The sequence below is a fragment of the Homo sapiens genome, chromosome 17 (assembly GCF_000001405.40).
Source record: "Homo sapiens chromosome 17, GRCh38.p14 Primary Assembly".
NCBI lineage: Eukaryota > Metazoa > Chordata > Mammalia > Primates > Hominidae > Homo > Homo sapiens.
In genome coordinates, this window is record NC_000017.11 from 38,778,092 (window position 1) to 38,799,696 (window position 21,605).

Here is a 21,605-nt window from a genome sequence, read left to right on the forward strand (position 1 = left end):
AATGTCTGCCATCCCAGCAGGACTATGAAGAACGTAGTGAGGGCAGAGGTAAAAGACCAGAGACCAAGGTCTAGGCCTAGCACAAGGACAGACAGGTGATTCATGACACACGGCATTTCATGTTGACAGACGGCATGTCTGGGAGCTGGGCTAGGGGCTGGGGTGGGCGAGGGACAGGATGGCCGACAGGAGTTGTTTCTGACTCCAAGCGACCCTTCCATTCCTGCTCAGCACCAGCATACCTTCTCCTTGTCGCTCGCTTCTCTGGCAACCGTAGAACCCTGAAAGGATAAGAGCCATCAGGGGAAGTCAAGCTGAGGCAAAGTCGACTGCATGAGCAAACATGGGAGAGCCAGCAGGTGAACTCAAGTAGGCTTGTTAGAGTCCTAGAGGGGCCAGGAGGCAGCACCTTGTTCATTTACTGTGTCAAGCCCACTTATAGAGCTCTATGTGCAAGACACTTTTTAGGTGCTCAGCAAACAGGACTGCACTGGAGAAGCTCAGTCCCTGCCCTTGAGCTACTTTCCTTCTAACAGGGGAGACAGATATTCAGCAGTGGTTCCACAAGTCATTAGTTCATTCACTACCACGGTGCTCAGTGGTACAGGGAGGAGCAGGACACTCTGAAAGCACATACCACACGGGCCCGGCCTGGGGAGGGACAGTGGCCAGGGCCTACCTACTTCCTGGAAGTAGTATTTGGGCTGAGCTCAGAAGGGTAAGGAGGAAGCAATTAGGTGGGGGAAGGAGTGGGTGGAGAGAGAGAAGGAGACTATTCCAGACAGCAGATGTGAAATCCTGGGAAGAGGAGCACAGGCACTGCAGGAACACAGAGGAAACCAGCCCAGTTGCAGCACAGAGGGAAGGGATGGCGGCATAAGGTGACAGAAGTCAGAAGCCAGGTTCAAGAACACGGAGCACCCTAGTTCACAGCCACAAGTGTGTCCTTCTCAGAGTCTAGAGATGCACTTGTGCTGGCAGTCCATGGGGGCCTGATGGATGCTAAAGTGCATGCGTCAGCACGGCCTCCCTCACTGTGCACATTCCACAGACAGGAACATCAACTGCTGCATAAATATGGCACATTTAGGGCTTAAATAATCTCCTGTTACTGTCACCTGGACTTCAAACTGCCTTTGGTCCACAAGAATCAGGCATATCCACTCCAGAGTTCCCTGTCCATGCCAACACATAGGCTCCAGCTTCCCAATTACATGGAAGTTGGAGTAGTGGCCCCTTCGGGGCTCAGATAGAGGGGAGGCACAGCTCCGGCAAACACAGAGCCCTTTACCTTGAGGTCATACTTGCGATGCACAGTGAGCCGATGGCTGAACACGTTCCTGGTAACCACCATGTAGGTTTCCACACCATCCACGGTCAGGCGGTACATGCCCAGGAACTGTGGCAAAAGCGTGTTGCCATGACACTCCACTATAAACTAGAATGGAAAGGAAGAAGAGAGAGGACTAAGGAACAGGCAGTGCCAGGGATGGATGGGGCTCACCCCAGACTAAAATGCTCCCTGGCTCCCTGGGATTCTAACCTCTAGACCAGTAGTTCTCCAGCTGGGTTCTATGAAGTAATAGGGGTTTCTCAGGCTTAAAATGGGCAACAGCCACCTCCAGCCTCCTGTTGGCATGGCAGAGGGAGAGGCAAGCTGAGCAGGTGGCTCAGAGCCCCTGTGGGTTCATATTATTAGTATCTCACCTAAGATTTTGTTTAAAGTAGGATTCTACCACAGGAAAATCCCTGATCCACACCTTGCATCTCTTCTGCCAGCCTGATATGGGAATGCCGCAGGGAAGAGACAGGATGCAGAGGCAGGCCAGGGATCCAGCCATCTGGGAGAAGAGAACAGCTCCATATCCAAAGCTCTTATCCATGCCATGCCCCAGGGTTTCTGCCATAACTCCTGAAAGACCAGAAGCTCCCTTCGGCCCTTCTCAGGTGCCCCAGAAATGAAGACCCAAGTAGGCTGAGGACAGACACACAGATGGTGCCACGGGGCTCCCTGCCTTCCTCATGGACAGGTTCCAGATGAGTGGAGAGATGGGACGGGAAAAGAAACAAGCCTGCCGAGCTGAGGGGGCCTCTTTCAGAAGAAACGGGGCGGATGCCAGTGCGTGAACACTTTCCAACTGGGAGTCAGTCAGCGATGAGCCTTCATGGCTCCTTTTTTCTTTTTTAAAGTAGGCATTTCAGCTCACAGAAATACGGTTGCAGGAGAGTCCCACTGCTTGGTGATCAGAAGCAGCTGCCATTACCAGAGAGGACCAACCCCTCCCTAAGAAGCTCCCCCAGGGCTCTCTTCTCCCTCTTCCAACCCATCCTCTGCAGCCCAGGCTTGGGACTCACCATACCTGGTGGTATTTCTTTAAGATGTTGTGCATCTCCGCCACGTCCTCGCTGGACACAGTCTTGATGACAAAGCGCCGGTCGTAGGTGGTGAGGAAACGCGTGCCACACCGACCCTGGCTGTCACTGTTGATGGGGGCGCTGCGCGTCACTGAATTCTGATAATCGAGACAAAAGAAGGCTGGGCTTGGCAGGGGAACAGAATTCTGACTTTCGCTGAGTCTTCCCTCAGGGGCTGGACTGCTTGAAAGCCAACAACACTGAGATAGAGGGACTCCCAGATGGGAGTTTACCCTCCCCTTTTCTCACAGGGTGTTCACATCCCTCCCTAAGTCTTCCTCCAAAGTGACAAGAATTGTTCCTTACCACCTGCTCTTCATCCCAGTCTAGGATGGGAAGAGGACTGACTGTGAAAGTTTCCATCCTGATCCCAGATAGCTATCCTACCAACTAAAATTCTGCCTCTGATGGAGGGGGCTGAGTCTAATCTGGACTCTCACACGCACTATGACCTTGGGTGAGCCATTTAACTTCTCTACCCCTGCATTTCCTCATCAGGAACACAAAGATGCAGACTGAGCTGATTCTCCCAGTCTCTTGGGGGTAGCAAAGATGAAGCTTAGAAAATACTGTCTTCAAGGGGTCTAGCACAAAGAAGCAATGCCCATTCGTCTCTTGTCCCTGGATCTACCCTAATGCTGAAAAACCTTCCCCAAAGCAGGAAGCTGATCCTCATCTCTGAGCCTGACACCTTTCCCCTTGCCTCAACCTCCTGCTTGTCTATGCAAGGCTGGGAGGCAGTTTTGGGGAGCTTTCCTGGCTGTATCCCTGCTCCTCCTCAAGGTCCTACTCCCATTAGGATCAGAGAGCAGTAGAAGCCTTAAGAGGGAGGGTGTGGGAAGGCGTGAGTCAACCAAAGGGATATGTTCACCAAGCAGATGCCAAGGGACCTCTGGGAAGCAACGGTGAGGGGAGATCCCAAGTGTCCCTGTTCCCAAGAAAACATACATGGGGATCATGTCACAGAAATGTCTCCTCTCCAAGATGTTTCCCCATCTCTTAATGAGGATCCTGTTATTATTTTTGTAGAGACAGGGTCTCACTCTGTCACCCAAGCTGGAGTACAGTGGTGAGATCTCAGCTCACTGCAGCCTCTACCTCCTGGGCTCAAGTGATCCTCCCGCCTCAGCCTACCAAGTAGCTGGGACTACAGGTGTGCACCAACATGCCCGGCTTATTTTTGTAGCTTTTGTAGAGATGTAGTTTCGCCATGTTTCCCAGGCTGGTCTAGAACTCCTGAGATCAAGCAATCCTCCTGCCTCAGCCTCCCAAAGTGCTAGGATTACAGGTGTGAGCTACTGTGCCCAGCCTTTTTTTTTTTTTTTAAAGATGGTGTTTTGCTGTCACCCAAACTGGAGTATAGTGGTGCGATCATAGCTCACTGCAGCCTTGAACTCCTGGGCTCAAGGGATCCTCTCGCCTCGGCCTCCTGAGCAGCTGGGACTATAGGCATGCACCACCATGCCCGGCTGATCAGGATCCTACTCTTTACTTTCCCCTAATACCTCCTCAGAAAACCCTGGTGGAGAAGTGAGGACCACCTTCATGGGGAAAACTAAAGTCAGAGGTGGTAAGCAGCTCTGGGAGTTCCTCAGCAAAGGTGCTAAAGTAGCACCCCAAAAAACAGGCTGTTCCCGTTACAGAAAGGTTGAGTAGACTCTGTGACTGAGCGCCTCTTCCTCCCAGCCTGGCCTCTCTACCATAAGACTTACAGGCTGCAAGCCTAGTTGGGAGGTAGAGGCAGCATCCCCTGACTCTCTAAGTGGCTGGTAGTCCAAGAATATAGGGTCCCCTCCCTGAGCACCATCCTCCCTGCCCTCATTTCAGTCTTGAGCACGGGCATGCGCCCACAAGGCTACTAGGGGCAAAATGCAGACACTGAGAGGATGTGGTTAGACAGCCCAGGGGAGGGAAAGGAACCCCTCACTTGCAACCCCTCACCAAGGAACAATGGAGGGAATCTGTCTGAGCAACTTGGGGTTGCAATAGTGGCAAGAAGTTTCCAGAAAACCTCCAGCCCCAGTCAAGTCATGATTGAGTTCAGGGTTCAATCCTAACAGCAGGCTGGAGGAACCTCCCAGTACCTCTTAGGTGTAGGCACTCCTGGGCATTCAAGCCCAAGGCATCTCCTCCTCCTCTCACAAACCCTCACCCTCTTCTTCGAGATACTTTTCTTTGCATGCAAGCCCTCCAGAGAGGAGGAGAGAGGGGAGGAGACTCTAACCCAAGGCCCCTTCTGCTGCTGTGAACTACTCTATCAAAGGGGTGGGGTGGGAGGAACTACAGTGTTAGAAAAGATTTGGGCATCCATTCTAGGTTTCACTGTGCTATACACTAGGTTTCACTGTGCTATGGGGAAAAGTTTTCTCCACAGATGAATGAAAGTCAGCTATATTTCAGGCCAGGTGCGGTGGCTCACGCCTGTAATCCCAGCACTTTGGGAGGCCGAGGCAGGCAGATCACAAGGTCAGGAGATCGAAACCATCCTGGTCAACATGGTGAAACCCCGTCTCTACTAAAAAAAAAGAAATGCAAAAAATTAGCCGGGTGTGGTGGTGGGCGCCTGTAATCCCAGCTACTCGGGAGGCTGAGGCAGGAGAATCACTTGAACCTGGGAGGCAGAGGTTGCAGTGAGCCGAGATCGCGCCATTGCACTCCAGCCTGGATGACAGGAGTGAAACTCCATCTCAAAAAAAAAAAAAAAAAAAAAAAGTCAGCTATATTTCTTACAGCTGTAAAGGTGAAGTGGAAAATTCGCCCACCTTCACCACAAGGCTGTCTGCCAAGGAAGAAGATCCAAGGAGATGTGCTAAGAGGAGAAGTGACAGAAACCATGGACTGAGTCAGATTCTAATGTCCCTGACACTGGGATTGATTCCTCCCAACAGGCCAATGGCCTCTACAACACTGTCACGCCCTGAAGGGGGCAGTTGCCCTGGCAGACCAACTCCCCACTCCCACCACCAGGATAGGGCACAAGTTTAGGAGGTGACACTCATACCTGGCAAGAGGTTACACTACCCTTGAAGTCTTCCTTTTCTAATCTATTTCATCTGCTTTAAGAGGCCTCATCTCTCGCTAACAACAATTCTCTCTCTCTTTTTTTTTTTTGAGACTGAGTTTCACTCTTGTCGCCCAGGCTGGAGTGCAATGGCGTGATCTCAGCTCGCTGCAACCTCCGCCTCCCAGGTTCAAGCGATTCTCCTGCCTCAGCCTCCAGAGTAGGTGGGACTATAGGCGCACATCACCATGCCCATCTAATTTTGTATTTTTTAGTAGAGACAGGGTTTCACCATGTTGGCCAGGCTGGTCTCAAACTCCTGACCTCAGGTGACCTACCTGCCTTGGCCTCCCAAAGTGCTGGGATTACAGGCATAAGCCACCATGCCCCACCCAGTTCTCTTTGAAGTCAAACTACGAATGAGAAGGGTTCTTCAGCCTAGACTGGGAATGTCAGACTAAAATAAAGGTGCTTCCGCAGACCCCTCTCCCTCCTGCTGCCCTCCCTCTGAGGGAGAGGAACCTGAGTGTGTGCAGCATCCTCAGAAGCATTTCTAAGGCCCTCGCCCTGCAAGGGGCCCCCAGTGCTGGGGGAGAGACCGCCTGGGCTGGAGCAAGGCATGACAGGGAGACACAGCACAAAAACAGCCAACACGTTTTGATTCTCTACCTGTCCTGTGGCTTCCTGACCCCATTCCATTCCCTAATCCACTGATGTTGCCAGGAGCCTCCATACCTGGTAATCCTGATCATCAATTCCAAACCTCTCCCGAAGGTTTCGGAACACCATGGGGCAATACTCCTTAAACTTAAAGCGGCTGGGCAGGTTCTCCCTAGGGAAAAGCAGAGATATGTCTTTGTGAACTGCCCCTTGCTCATCTTAATTCTATTATTATTATTATTTTTTGTAATAGAGACAGAGTCTTGCTATGTTGCCCAGACTGGTCTTGAACTCCTGGCTTCAAGCGATCCTCCCACCTCAGCCTCCCAAAGTGCTGGGATTACGGGCATGAGCCACCACACCCAGCCTCATCTATATTCTGACTTCAGAACTCTTCAAAGTGTGGTCCACAGATTGCCTGGATCTGAACATCTGCCATACTTAACATGTAGGTTTCTAGGCTCTTAGGAATTCTGGAGTTGAGTCGAAAAACAAACACTCCAGGTGATTCTGAGCATGTAAAAGTTTAAAAACTTTACATCTTGTATTCACTTTGTAAAAGTAATCCAGCAGTATAACTGGTATTTGTGCGATTTTCTATGTGTGTGCTGCCCTTCAATAAAACATACATTAAAGAAAAAAACTCTCACCCGCTGGGCCATAAGCCTGAGTGCAGGCTCCACCTCACAAGCACTGTGCTTACTACAGTGGGAACCTGCATGTGAACATCTGCTGTGAGGTGAAATCAGCCTGAATGCTACAAGGAAAAACCTCTCTCATCAGAGGGCCCCTCTCCTCTGGCCATATTCCTGTGGAAGCATCCTGAAGATGGTCACTTACAGGAAGCCCTGCCCTGGGCTTCCACTGGGACGTAGGAAAAGAGTGCCTGAGTTAAAGAGGTCTTCAGTCAACTGAGTGGGACCACAGAGCCCTGTCTGCTGGCTGCTGGCACCAATCTCCACCCTCCCACTCCCTCATCAATACAGACTCCCAGGAGGAAAGAGAATCACCTTGAAATGATGACTCTTACCAATCCTCCATCTTTACAACAGCTATCCTGTTTAGGGACCCCCTTTCAGAAATATGTCCCAGTGACTACTCCAGGATGACAGGCTTTAAGGAAATCAAAAGGAATGTCTTCTTGGAAAGGAAGTGGCCTATCTGCCTTATCTACCCCGTCTTCTAGTAAACAGTGCTAGAATCTAATAAATAGCACATACAGGGCTGGGCAAGGTGGCTCCTGCCTGTAATCCCAGTACTTTGGGAGGCCGAGGCAGGTGGATCACCCTGACTGAGGTCAGGAGTTCGAGACCAGCCTGGCCAACATGGTGAAACCCCATCTCTACTAAAAATACAAAAAAATTAGCCGGGCGTGGTGGTGGGTGCCTGTAATCCCAGCTACTCAGGAGCCTGAGGCAGCAGAATCACTTGAACCCGGGAGGCAGAGGTTGCAGTGAGCCAAGATCGTGCCACTGCACTACAGCCTGGGCAACAAGAGTGAAACTGTCTCAAAACAACACCAATAACAACAACAAAAACACATACACAGTTGTTGGAAGGACAAAAGGAATAAAGATAGAAGAAAATAAGAGATTGGGTTCTCTGCTTTAGGCCAAGATATCAAGGAGGTAGCACCTCACCAGAGGCCATGGACCCTGAAGGGGGTAGTGGTGCAATGCCCACTTCGAGAACCCGGACCTCTGAGTCAGAACAACCTTCTTTCTTCTGGGTCAGAACAACCTTCTTTCTGGTCTCTGAGTTGAGGGCTGCCTCTCCCTCCTTAGGTGGCCACTTAACAGGTGGCAGCTATGGAGACAGACGGCTTCTAGAACAAGATGGTATTACTTACTATGGCAGAGGGAGGTCACTAAGGGATGTTCTCAAGTCAATCTTCTCCTCTGGACTAACAGTCTGGGAATGGTGGGGTGACAGAACCCAGCTAGTGAGGTGGTGGGGACTGTGAGACAATGAAGAATAGAACCAGGATTCACATGCAGAAAGGAGAAAGTGTAAGCAGCAAATAGTCCTGGGGTGGTCCACAGAGGGATGGAAAATCCAGGCCCCAAAGGGCTTAAAGCAGGCCCAAAATTGTGCCAGGTGTGGCGGCCGCTAGTGTTTCCAACAATATCTGAGACAACCTTCAGACACTGGTGCTAATCCAAGAAGCGACAGCAGACAAAAATGGGAAGTGCTACTCTGGATAGTGCCCTCGAGCCCCATGCTCTGCCTGTTGCTCATACACCAGCCAGACAGAAAAGAGCCTGGCGGCATCCCAGACCAAGAACATGCCTGGCAACCTCCTGCCTCAGACTAAGACCAAGATGGGGCCACTGCTACAGCCTCACACTGAATACCTCAGCTCCAGAGCAGCTCACTGCCACCTGAGCTGGCTCTAGATGAATCACCCTGGGCCCAGCCACATGCCCCAAGGGCCACCGGAGGTAGGCTGATAATAGAGTGAGACGACAATACTAGGATGAGAGGCACATAACGAATGCATTTTCCTAGCCAGTTTGTCCGCTCTGAGATCCAGGTGCTGCTGTCACACCCTGCCAGGTGCTGCCTTGGCTCCCACCATGCATGAGGCTTCAGAAGCCTCTGACTTGAGGGAAAGGACTGCCCACAAAACCTGAGTCCACTCAGTAGACAACTTACTTATTGAAGAGATGATTGTCCACCTTGATCTTGCTGTAGGCTTTGAAGTCATCTGGCATTAGCATGACAGGAACAGGAACATTGCTCAGCTCATTGATCTGAAAAGCAAGGAGAACGTAAGGCTCTCAGCCAGGAGGCCACCTGCCTCAGAGACACTAAGCTACAATGTGGATGCCACAATCTTGCTAAAAGCATGTCCAAGTTTCCCTCTCTGTCTTTTTTTGTTTTTTTGAGACAGGGTCTCATTCTGTCACCCAGGCTGAAGTGCAGTGGCATGACAATGGCTCATTGCAGCCTTCACCTCCTGGACTCAAGCAATCTGCCCACACCAGCCCCCCAAGTAGCTGGGACTACAGGTGCACATCACCACGCCCAGCTAATTTTTTTGTATTGTGTAGAGACAAGTTCTCACTGTCCTGAGCTCAAGCAATCCTCCAGACTTGGCCTCCCAAATTATTGGGATTACAGGTGTCAGCCACCACACCTGGCCCCTCCCTGCCTTTATTTCTGTTCTTCTCTTCAAGTAAGTTCCCAACCTTGTCCTATTTTACCTATTGAAACTCTCCACCTGATAAGGGCCAGCTCAAAAGGCACCTCCTCCATGAAGTTTTCCAAGATTCTCTAGACCATCAATACCCTTTCCCATCTTGGAATTCCTGAAGTTTTCTTTGTATCTGTCTTCTGGCCATCTCACAGTCTCTCATATTGTAGTTAATGCCTATAAACCTCACCTGCTAGAGTTAAGCTAGGCAATACTATATTATTTATCTTTCTTTTTCTTTTTCTTTGAGACGGAGTTTTGCTGTTGTTGCCCAGGCTGGAGTGCAATGGCACGATCTCAGCTCACTGCAATCTCCACCTCCTGGCCTCAAGTGATTCTCCTGCCTCAGCCTCCCAAGTAGCTGGGATTACAGGCATGCACCACCATGTCCAGCTAATTTTTTTTTGTATTTTTAGTAGAGACAGGGTTTCATCATGTTGGTCAGGCTGGTCTTGAACTCTTGACCTCAGGTGATCCACCTGCCCTGGCCTCCCAAAGTGTTGGGATTACAGGCGTGAGCCACCACGCTCGGCTTTAATTATATTTCTAAGCAAAGAGCATCCTACTAATCTTTGGGGCACCACAGTGCTTGGCACCATTACTAGCATATATGGCAGATACTCAATAAATATTTGTCATATGCAATAATAAATGATCAATAGATAAATGTCTCCCAACCTAAGTGGGTATTAATTAAGGCCTTTGAATATCTTCATACAAATTGTGGGTCACTCAAGAAATTAGCTCAAGGAAGAAAAAAAGCTGGATGGGTTTGTGTGGACTTGTAACTCATATCCCCAAGGTAATAGATTAAATTTATTTATTTATTTATTTATTTATTTATTTATTTATTTATAGACAGAGTCTCACTGTGTCGCCCAGACTGGAGTACAGTGGTGCGATCTCAGCTCACTGCAAGCTCCGCCTCCTGGGTTCACACCATTCTCCTGCCTCAGCCTCCAGAGTAGCTGGGACTACAGGTGCCCGACACCACACCTGGCTAATTTTTTGTATTTTTAGTAGAGACAGGGTTTCACCATGTTAGCCTGGATAGTCTCGATCTCCTGAGCTCGTGATCCACCCACCTCGGCCTCCCAAAGTGCTGGGATTACAGGCATGAGCCACTGCGCCCGGCTGTAATAGATTAAAGTGAGCAGTAGTAAATGTCTGGCCACTGCCCCACTTGGACCCTCCTGATAAAAGCAGGGCCAGGCCTGGCACAGTGGCTCATGCCTGTAATCCCAGTACTTTGGAAGGCCAAGGCAGGAGGATCACTTGAGGCCAGGAGTTCTATACCACCCTGGGCAACACAGCAAGACCCTATCTCTAAAAAAAATAATTAAATGTGAAGCTGAGGCAGGCAGATCACCTGAGGTAAGGAGTTCAAGACCAGCCTGGCCAATATGGTGAAACCCTATCTCTACTAAAAATACAAAAAAATTAGCTGGGTGTGGTGGAAGCCACCTGTAATTCCAGCTACTCGGGAGGCTGAGGCAGGAGAATCGTTTGAACCCAGGAGGCATAAGGTATAGTGGGCCGAGATCGCGCCACTGCCTGGGCAACAAGAGTGAGACTCTGTCTCAAAAAAAAAAAAAAATTAAACACATTAGCCAGGCATAGTCGTGTACACCTATCATCCTAGCTACTCAGGAGGCTGAGGTGGGAGGATTGCTTGAGGCCAGGAGTTTGAGGTTACAGTGAGCTGACTGCACCACTGCACTGCACTCTAGCCTGGGCAAGAGTGAGATCTTGTCTCAAAAAAGAAAATAAAATAAAGCAGGGCCAGTTCCTGATGTCAAGTCCTGCCATACACTAAACTAAGGGAGATGGGGCAGGATGCCTTGCCTCTACTGCAAACAAACCTTCTGACTTTCATCCCTTCAGGGAGCTGGATCCTAGACAGAGAGCTAGCTTTCCATTGGTGCAGAGATGAGGGCAGATCCTGCCCTTCCCCACCTCGAGTTTAGCCAGTTAGTGGTCTAATTAACCACAGATGTCCTCTCCCATCACAGCAGAGTATTTGACATTTGACCCTCAACCCAGTTGCCACTAATGCATTCAGGATTTACAGAGGAAACCTTAGTCCTGACTTAATGGACTGGGGGGAGGGGGCACAGCCTTGTGTCTCCCACTTTCCTTGCAAATCCTGTTATCTCAATGAGGCCCCAGGTGGCAGTGAGGGGATAACCTAGAGTCATTAGAACTCCTCCAGGAGCATAAATGGGGGAAATGGCATTTAATTTGCTGCTCCTTTTATGTTACAAACCTTTTTTATTTAGAAATGTCAGAGAATGGAGGAAGTTCAAGTTAATGCAGTAACTGGGCTGGGGAACCATATCTTCCTAGAGTTGGGAAAAAACCCAATTTACTCATGGAGAAATGAAGGAAGCCATAGGAATGCACGTGCTTTGAGAGGGATGCTGGGGGCAGGGTAGTTTATAAGTTGGCAGTGGAGCAGACACTAGGTAAACTGCTGGCAAAAACTGGCATAGACACAAGAGTGTATCCTGTATAATTCCATTTATATGAAATTCTACAGCAGGCATCTATAATGAGAGAAATGAGATGAGTTGCCTGGCCAGGGGGCGGGGGGTGCTGAGTGTAAAGGGACATGAGAAGTGTGATTCTACGGTGACAGAAATGTTTTATATGTTGCTTGGGGTGATGGTTACATGAGCAAATACATTTGCTGAAATTCATCAAATTGTATACTTAAAATACGCACACTTAATATACATAAATTATTCCTCAATAAAGTTGATTTTTAAATTCCCAGCATCAAGCTCTGTGATACCCTTCATTGGCTAAACCCTCCCAATAGCCAAAAAAAACCCCAGAAGAGTCATGCCAGTTCCTATTCCAGGGGGTGCTCACAAGAGAATGTGACTGTCAAATCTGTGCCTACAGAGGAAACCATTCCACTTCTTTGTTTTTCTGCCAACAGAAACAATTCGTGGTGGCTGTCCCATTTCCTTTTTCCTGGCATATCAAGCCTGGCTCCGAGACTTAAAGGGAAAACAGAGACAAAGAGTTCAGGGCTCGGCTGGGCGCAGTGGCTCACGCCTATAATCCCAACACTTTGGGAGGCCTAAGGGGACGGATCACGAGGTCAGAAGATCGAGTCTTGCTCTGTTGCCCAGGCTGGAGTGCAGTGGCAGAATCTCCGCTCACTGCAACCTCTGCCTCCTGGGTTCAAGCGATTCTCCTGCCTCAGTCTCCTGAGTAGCTGGGATTACAGGCGCATGTCACCATGCCCTGCTAATTTTTGTATTTTTAGTAAAGATGGGGTTTCACCATGTTGGTCAGGCTGGTCTCGAATTCCTGACCTCGTGATCTGCCTGCCTCAGCCTCCCAAAATGCTGGGATTACAGATGTGAGCTACTGCACCTGGCCCAGCCTAGGAAATTTTTAACTCAGCTAACATTGGTGAACAATCCATATCTCAACTAGGGGAGACTTACCCCTCATTTCTACTAGGCCACATGTAGATGATTCACTGTAGGGATTAGCCCTATTATTATTATTTTTTTAGTTGTGTGAAATTTTATATCCCAGAGAGTTCTATTCCATTTCAATTGAACTGTTCCTATTGAAATATCTGCTACGTGCTTCATTCTGTTAGGTAGGTGTGTGGGAGGAGGAGAACACAAGGGGAGAAAGTGTTGTACATGCAAAAGAAACAGGAGGCTTATAATCTCATCAGGGAGATGAAAAAAAACCCTGACACCCTCAAAGTCAAAGCAGTATGCAATTAAGTGAGAATCCAGGGATACAGACATCAAGAACAGCAGAGGCTCAGAGAAGGATGAGGCTAGCATGGCCAGAGGGTCAGGCTCCCAGTCCTCATACATCAGGCCAGAAACAAGGCACCTAATGCCTCTCCTGGTATTGCACCAAGAGCACTTGACATTAGGAGAATCTACAAGATCATGCTACACTCCTGCTTAGAAATCTTCCATGGCTGCTCCTCTCAACCTCAGGGTAAAGTTTTAACTGCTTAGCCTGGCATTCAAGGCCTTTCCTAATCTGGCTCAGACTGCCAATTTTTTTTTTTTTTTTTTTTTTTTTTTGAGATAGAGCTTTGCTCTGGTTTCCCAGGCTGGAGTGCAATGGCGTGCTCACCGCAACTTCCGCCTCCCGGGTTCAAGCAATTCTCCTGCCTCAGCCTCCTGAGTAGCTCGGATTATAGGCATGCACCACCATGCCCGGCTAATTTTGTATTTTTAGTAGAGATGGGGTTTCTCCATGTTGGCCAGGCTGGTCTCGAACTCCCGACCTTAGGAGATCCACCTGCCTCGGCCTCCCAAAGTGCTAGGATTACAGGCGTGAGCCACCGCGCCCAGCCAGACTGCCAAATTTCTATTCAATTTACTTCTACTCAGTGTATTAAGGGCCTTACTATATGCTAGGAGCTGGGGATACAAAACCAAAAAGACATCTGCAGAGCTGGGCGTAGTGGCTCACGCCTGTAATTCCAGCACTTTGGGAGGCCGAGGCGGGCGGATCATGAGGTCAGGAGATCAAGACCATCCTGGCTAACACAGTGAAACCCCGTCTCTACTAAAAAAAAATACAAAAAAAAATTAACGGAGCATGATGGCGGGCACCTGTAGTCCCAGCTACTCGGGAGGCTGAGGCAGGAGAATGGCGTGAACCCACAAGGCGGAGCTTGCAGTGAGCCGAGTTCATGCCACTGTGCTCCAGCCTGGGTGACAGAACCAGACTCCGTCTCAAAAAAAAAAAAGCAATGAGTTCACTCTATGCTGATCTACTGGAGATGAAAATTCCTTGATTGATTGATTGAGACAGGGTCTCACTTCCATAGGCCAGGCTAGAGTGCAGTGGTATGATCTCAGCTCACTGCAGCCTCAACTTCCTGAGCTCAGGTGATTCTCCCATCTCAGCCTCCCTAGTAGATGGGACTACAGGTGTGCCATCATGCCCAGCTAATTTTATTTCTAGTAGAGACAAGTTTTCGCCATGTTGCCCAGGCTGGTTTCAAAGCCCTGGGCTCAAGCAATCCATCCACCTCAGTCTCTCAAAGTGAGAGGTATGATTCTGTTGTACATATACAACAGAATACTATTCAGCCTTTAAAAAAAAGAAGAAAATTCTGCAATATGCAACATGGAGATGAAAATTCAGCAGCTAGTTCTAGTCTGGTGAACTTGTGTGTCCAGAAGCCTCCACTTCCCTGTGCGACCTTCATAGGAATTGTTACCTAGGATGCCTGGACTAGGCATGCAGGTTTCCTGACATGTTCCAGTCCTCTGCTGTCGGTTCAGCAGTGGGCTGGCCACCACCAGCAATCACTTGTTACCTGCCACCATCAGAAAACATGACATGCTAGAAATACACTCACAGGACCGAGGAGGTCCAAAGCAAGAACTGCAACTCCAGAGAGGAAGAGAGGGCCACAGGAGCCAATAAATCTACCGGTGTTTACTCCTCCTTTCCATATCTTGCTTTCTCCTTCTCCTGCTGTTTGAGTCCCACTGCTCCCTGTGAGGTGGGAAGGCCTGCTAAAAGAAACTTCATTCAAAGGCCTGAGTAGGAATGTTCTCTAAAGATTTTTTTTTTTTTGAAACGGAGTCTCACTCTGTCGCCCAGGCTGGAGTGCAATGGCGCGATCTCTGCTCACTGCAACCTCCGCCTCCCGGATTCAAGCCATTCTCCTGCCTCAGCCTCTTGGGTAGATGGGATTACAGGCGCATGCCACCACACCCGGCAAATTTTTGTATTTTTAGTAGAGACAGGGTTTCGCCATGTTGGCCAGGCTGGTGTCAAACTCCTGACCTCAAGTGATCCGCCTGCCTCGGCCTCCCAAAGTGCTGGGATCACAGGCGTAAGCCACTGCTCCCAGCCATCTCTGAAGATTTTTTCTTTTTTTTTTTTTTTTGAGACGGAGTTTTGCTCGTCACCCAGGCTGGAGTGCAATGCCGCCATCTTGGCTCAATGCAACCGCCGTCTCCCAGGTTCAAGTGATTCTCCTGCCTCAGCCTCCCGAGTAGCTGGGATTACAGGCATGCGCCACCATGCCCGACTAATTTTTGTATTTTTAGTAGAGACGGGGTTTCACCATGTTGGCCAGGCTGGTCTTGAACTCCTGACCTCAGGTGATCCGCCCACCTTGGCCTCCCTAACTGCTGGGATTACAGGCGTGAGCCACCATGCCAGGCCCCTCTGAAGATTTTTAAAGCAGTAGGGCAAGATAAAAAGACAGGTAAAGGAGGTCAGTGGCTCACGCCTGTAATCCTAGCACTTTGGAAGACCGAGGTGGGCAAATCGCTTGAGCCCAGGATTTCGAGACCAGCCTGGGCAACATGGCAAAACCCCGACTCTTCAAAAAATACAAGTGTTAGTCGGGTGTGGTGGCATGTGCCTGTAGTCCCAGCTACTCGGGTGGCTAAGGCAGGAGAATCACCTGAGCATGGGGAGGTAGGGGCTTCATTGAGCCGTGATTGTGCCACTGCACTTCAGCCTGTGCAAGAGCGCGAGACCCTGCCTCAAAAAAACAAACAAAAAAAAAAACAAGAAAGAAAGAAAATGTATGGACAGAACAGAACTGGGGTGGAATGTAGGAGAGAAATTGAGCAGACTAAAGAATAAATCTGTCCCTCACACCATACCCAAAAGTGAATTCAAAATGGATTACAGACTTAAATGTAAGAACTAAAACTATACATACTCCAGCACTATTCACAAGAGCTAAGGTGTGAAAACAAATCCATCAACAGATGATAAAGAAAATGTGGTATACATATACAACAGAATACTATTCAGCCTTAATAAAAGAAGGAAATTCTGCTATGTGCAACATGGATGAACCTTGAGCACCTTACGCTGAGATCAGCTAGTCGCAGAAAAACATATATTGCATGATTCTCCTTATATAAGGTTTCAAAACAGTCCAATTCATAGAAACAAAGAGTAGAATGGTGGTTGCCAGGGGCTGGGGGCGGGGGAAATGGGGAGTTAATTGGTAGGCATAAAGTTTCATTCAAGCGAGATGAATACGCTCTACAGAGCTGCACTATGACACTGTTCCCATGGTCATCAATAACATAATCGTACACTTAAAATTTTGTCATGAGAGTACATCTTATGTTAAATGTTCTGACCACAATACAATTAAAAAAAAAAAAAGAAGAAGAAGAAAGAAAGAGCTAAAACTCTAGTTGGGAGGATTGCTTCAGGCCAGAAGTTTGAGAACATCCTGGGCAATACAGAGAAACCCCAATTCATTAAAAAAAAAAAAAAAAAAAAAAAGAGCTAGAACTATAAAACTTTTAGAAGAAAACAAAGGAGTAAATCTTCATGACCTTGGGTTAGGCAATGTCTTCTTAGATATAACACCAAAAGCACACACAACAACAACAAAAAAGATAAACTGGACTTTATTAAAGTTAAAAACTTGAACTTCAAAAGATACCATAAGAAAAATGAAAAAGGCAGGCCAGGTGCAGTGGCTCACGCCTGTAATCCCACCACTTTGGGAGGCCGAGGCGGGGGGATTGCTTGAGGCCAGGAGTTCGAGACCAGTCTGGCCAACATGGCAAAACCCTGTCTCTACTAAAAATACAAAAATTAGCCTGGTGTGGTGGCGGGCACCTGTAATCCCAGTTACTCAGGAGGCTGAGGCAGGAGAATCGCTTGAACCCGGGAGGCAGAGGTTGCAGTGAGCCAAGATCACACCGTTGCACTCCAGCCAGGGCGACAGAGCAAAACTCCATCTCAAAAAAAAAAAAAAAAAAAAAAAAAGAAAAATGAAAAAGACAACTCAATGAATAGGATAAAATATTTGCAAATCATATATCTGATAAGGGACCTGTATCTAGAATATAAAAAGAATTCTTGTAACTCAATAATAAGAAGATAACCCAATTTAATAATGGGCAAAAAGATCTTTGTAAATGGGCAAAAAATTTAATAGACATTCTCCAAAGAAAAGATACCAATGAAGGCTGGGGATGTGGCTCATGCCTGCAATCCCAGTCCTTTGGGAGGCCAAGGCGGGAGGACCACTTGAGGCCAGGAGTTCAGGACCAGCCTCGGCAACAAAGCGAGACCCTGTCTCTACAACAACAACAAAAAGAAAATGTACAGGCCAGGCACAGTGGCTCACACCTGTAATCCCAGCACTCTGGGAAGCCAAGGCAGGTGGATCACCTGAGGTTAGGAGTTTGAGATCAGCCTGGACAACATGGTAAAACTCCATATCTACTAAGAATACAAAAGTTAGCTGGGTGTGGTGGCAGGCACCTGTAATCCGAGGTACTTGGGAGGCTGAGGCAGGAGAATCGCTTGAACCAAGGAGGCGGAGGTTACAGTGAACTGAGATTGTGGCACTAAACTCCAGCCTGGGCGACAGAGCAAGACTCTGTCTCAAGAAAAAAAAAAAAAGAAAAGAATATGTACAAATGGCCAGTAAGTACATGAAAAAATGCTCAACATCATTAGTTATCACAGAAATGCCAATCAAAGTCACAATGAGGCCGGGTGCGATGGCTCATGCCTGTAATCCCAGCACTTTGGGAGGCCGAGGCAGGTGGATCACCTGAGGTCAGGAGTTTGAGACAAGCCTGGCCGACATGGTGAAACCTTGTCTCTACTAAAATAAAAAAATTAGCCACGTGTGGTGGCAGGCATCTGTAATCCCAGCTACTGAGGAGGCTGAAGCAGGAGAATTGCTTGAACCCGGGAGGTGGAGGTTGCGGTGAGCCGAGATTGCACCACTGCACTCCAGCCTGGGTGACGGAGTGAGACTCCATCACAAAAACAAACAAACAAACAAAATCACAATGAGATACGAATTCACACCCAACAGAATGGCTTTAATAACTTTAAAAAGACAATAACAAGTGTTGACAAGGATGCAGATACTGGAACTCTTATACACTGCTGGTAGACATGTAAAATGGTACAGCCACTTTAGAGAACAGTTTGGCAGTTTCTCAAATGGTTAAATACAGAGTCACCATCAACTGCTCCTGCTCCTCTGATCCCTGTGGTAAGGCTTCACACATACCTGGTTCTTAAAATGGCCAACAAGTATCAAGTCAGGTCTACCTCCCATGGTCTCCATGCTCCTCTCTGAGGCCATCTCTTCCCTAATTCCAAACCCTCGGAACTGTATTTCATCCACTAAAACACTGGTTTTTGCTCTTCACTAGTTCTTCCCTGACAGGTGCAAAGTCTTCTGATTTTTCTCCTTGTTTCCTACACATTCTTCCTCCACAAAATCCATGGGCTCTTGTCCATGAGAGCAGCTCCTGTGACAACACCAAGTTCAAAGTCCTCTCTTTTTCCACCTAGAAGTAAACTAATCACCTCATGAAAGGGTAACTAACTTCTGCTGTAGATAAAGACATATCCATCCTTCCTATCTGAAACACCATTAGCCACAGACCAGCATGCCTAAATGCCTAAACAGGTGAGAAACTAAAGAAAAGGTGGTATCTGAAATCTCAGATGACAAAATGTTACAAAGTAGGCTTTTTTTGAAGGGAGGAAATCTCCAAAAAAGTGCAGCAGTCCACCGAGGGCAATGTGGTCCTGATCCCTTAGACGAGTGCAAGATTACACTCTTCTTCTAGGCAGATGTCTCAGTTCCCAAATGGGGACACTGAAGTATCAGACCTTACTGCAGACCAGGATGAAGCAATAAAACTTACGACTAACTGGCCTCTGAAGCTTAGCCTGTCCAGGGCAGTGGTGGGAAGTTCCCATGAGATGCCTGTTCATTATGTCCAGAGGCACGGATCTTGCTTAAAGTCAATGCCTTTCCAACTAGCCCCTCAAACAAACTTTCAACTTAAAGTTAGCAAAGAAAAAAGATGACCACTTTGTCCAACAGAGTAGGACTCACAGGACTCCTGACTCGTGATACCTAACCATCAGCTATTGAGAAACTTCATAACCACATATGGACAGACTCATGCCTGCCTATCGGAACACCATGCATCACACACACTCCCAGGACCTGACATGCATAGGCGTATAACCCAGAGCATATATTCACCTTCTCTAACCGGACTATACTTCGCATCTATCCTGAGACTTGGCTGAGGGAGAGGAAAAGAAACAGGAGGCAAAGAAAACAAGACCAGCCACTCAGGCACCACCCTTGGCCGATACAGTCCCATGGTGCTAGACAATAAGCGACATCTCTTGCTGTAACCACAGGCAAGCTAATCCTCCACCTGAGGCCTCCTTTTCTTCATGTGTAAAATAAGGGACCCAAGGTTCATTGCAGCTAGCTGTAATACTCCTGACTCTCAGGCCTCTACCAGTTCTCTACAGACAGGTTGCTTTCTGTGAGAAACAGAACCAGCAGAGAGAGGCCTGGTAGAGTGAGAAGCAGGATGCAGAACAAAATCAAGGATTGACTTCCAGAAAGGGACATGGGGTTCATATTCTGATCACCCAGTTTCCCTAGAAATGTTGTCAGATGACCCCTGGGACAGCAGGAAGACCGAGTAACAAACTGGGCTGGATTGTTGGCCCGAAGCAGCTCCTAGAGGTCTGGGCATTATACCACTGGTACTCGCTATCCTGGCAGGACCCTCACTAACACCAGTGATGACAGTGAAAACAGTAACCTGCCCAAGACCAAGAAACCACAGAGACCTCAATTTACACATGCACTTTCCTAAATGACAGGTCAAGATCTAAAACCCTAGCTCAGATTACGGTTCATCGATCTCCACCCAAAGGCACCTTCAGCTCCTCTGCCAAAGCAATGCAAAGTCTTGCTGGCCCTCTTTGTCATCGCTTGGTCTTGTGAGCAATTTCAAGCACTCACAAGTGAACCTAAAGAACTGAAATCCACAGGAAACCCAAGCTTGATCCTCCTTATTCCAAAATTCTAGTTAGTGAAGTTGGTGTTTCGGGTCCTTTTACTTCCTCTGCTCATTCCTAGTGTGGGGATTCATAAAGAAATGGTCAGAAGGCAAAGAGCAAGTGGTTGGAAGAGGGAGAATAAAGACCCTGAACAAACACCACATAAACAGTCTTCCAGCTTAAACTGTCAGGATCCAACTTCCTGGCAGGGGCTGTTGAACAATCTCAAAGCACCCTAAGGACCCAGGGGACCTATCTCTCCTATCTAGGACCATAATCACTATGCATCATCACAACATTGCAGCCACACAACAGATAAGTCAACATCTTTAAAATGATCACCTTCAAAAACTATGGGAAGACATATTATTTCTACTATGAATAGTCCCTCCTTATAACCAGGCATCCTCTTCTCTCAAATGGTTAATAGCCATTCTTTCTTCTCCCTAACCCAGAGAGACCCAGGTGAAGTGTCTGGTTCAAGGAAGCCTGTGCTTCTCCAGTTGATACATCTTGTTCAAGAGGGAAAAAAAAGGAAACCCAGGGTGGAGTTCTACATTCAAAGGTAAGGAGGCCTGGAGGATGGAAGAATTTGAGCAGCCACAACAACCAAACGATCAGAAAGAGAGGACTATTTGGGCAGACCACTGCTACTTGACAGAGCTGGCAGCCGGCTGTAAGGAACAAGGGGGAATATACACCCTCACAAACAGGATGAGGGGGGAGGAGGAGAAGCAGGGATGAAAGCGACTCCACTGCACTGAGGCCTTGCCTTTGCGCTCCATGGGCTGCCCCAAGCGAGCACGCCACACGCAGGAAGCCAGAAGGGCTGGAGGGAAGGGGAGGTGGCGACGGCAGACCACAGAGACACCAGGCCTCGCGTGGCGTGCGGGGAGTGCACACGGGGCCGAAAGGCGTGCAAGGGTGGGGTGGGCGTGCAAGTGGCTTGGCGAGGGGTGGCAGGCGTCACCGGCAGGGCCTGCGGGGCAAGGGCCCAGGGCTGCAGGGGGCGTGGGAGCGCGCGGGGCCGCGCTCAGAGGGGCGCGCAGGAGCTGGTTACCGTGTGGTTCACCCCCCACATCAGGACGCTGAGGATCGGCTCGCTGGCCCGGAATAGCTTCACTTTCTGGCACACGAAATGCTTCTTCTTGGTCTTGGTCTTGCTGGCGCTGAGCGGCGCCACCGCCACCGCCGTGGTGCTGGTGCAGTTGGACGACATGCCCGGGGCGGCGGCGGCGGCGGCGAAAGAGGGGGGCGGCGGAGACAGCGCACAAGCCAGCGGCCTCAGGCCTCCCCCGGACCGATCCCCACCCCCGCTCCCTCACCGCGCCATGGTCGCGCCCGTCCCGTTACCTCCCACCCCGCCCCGGTGGTTCCGTCCGCCCCACGCCCCGCCCTCCCGCCCCGCCCCGGGGAGCCCGCCGGCCCGCTCCGCACCCCGCCCCCGGGCGGTGCAGCCGCCCTGCAGTCCCCTGGCCCCGTCCTCCCCGT

The 21,605-nt window shown here is 49.0% G+C and overlaps 1 protein-coding gene across 7 annotated transcripts in view, besides 1 other annotated feature; it reads right to left on the reverse strand.

The window, feature by feature from the left end:
* Positions 1–21,465, reverse strand: part of PIP4K2B (phosphatidylinositol-5-phosphate 4-kinase type 2 beta) — a 33,866-nt gene extending 12,401 nt beyond the window's left edge. Inside the window, exons 1-8 of one of the 7 annotated variants that reach the window (XM_011525327.3) lie at positions 21,175–21,465; positions 12,147–12,277; positions 8,732–8,829; positions 6,152–6,248; positions 2,361–2,513; positions 1,761–1,841; positions 1,292–1,438; positions 243–281 (exon numbers count right to left, since the gene is read on the reverse strand). In XM_011525327.3, the coding sequence (XP_011523629.1) occupies positions 243–281; positions 1,292–1,438; positions 1,761–1,841; positions 2,361–2,513; positions 6,152–6,248; positions 8,732–8,796 (582 nt within the window). In that variant the 5' untranslated portion in view covers positions 8,797–8,829; positions 12,147–12,277; positions 21,175–21,465. Of the gene's footprint in view, positions 1–242; positions 282–1,291; positions 1,439–1,760; positions 1,842–2,355; positions 2,514–6,151; positions 6,249–8,731; positions 8,830–12,146; positions 12,278–14,634; positions 14,795–21,174 lie in introns of those variants that run through there. The other 6 variants (XM_047436888.1, XM_011525326.4, XM_047436889.1 and 3 more) reach the window with 6 other exon arrangements.
* Positions 20,642–21,460: an enhancer, noted in NCBI's record as "H3K27ac hESC enhancer chr17:36954986-36955804 (GRCh37/hg19 assembly coordinates)". NCBI's record gives its function as "activates a minimal SCP1, AML or CMV promoter by ChIP-STARR-seq in naive and primed H9 embryonic stem cells {active_cell/tissue: H9 hESC(naive and primed)}" and the evidence as "EXISTENCE:reporter gene assay evidence [ECO:0000049][PMID:30033119]".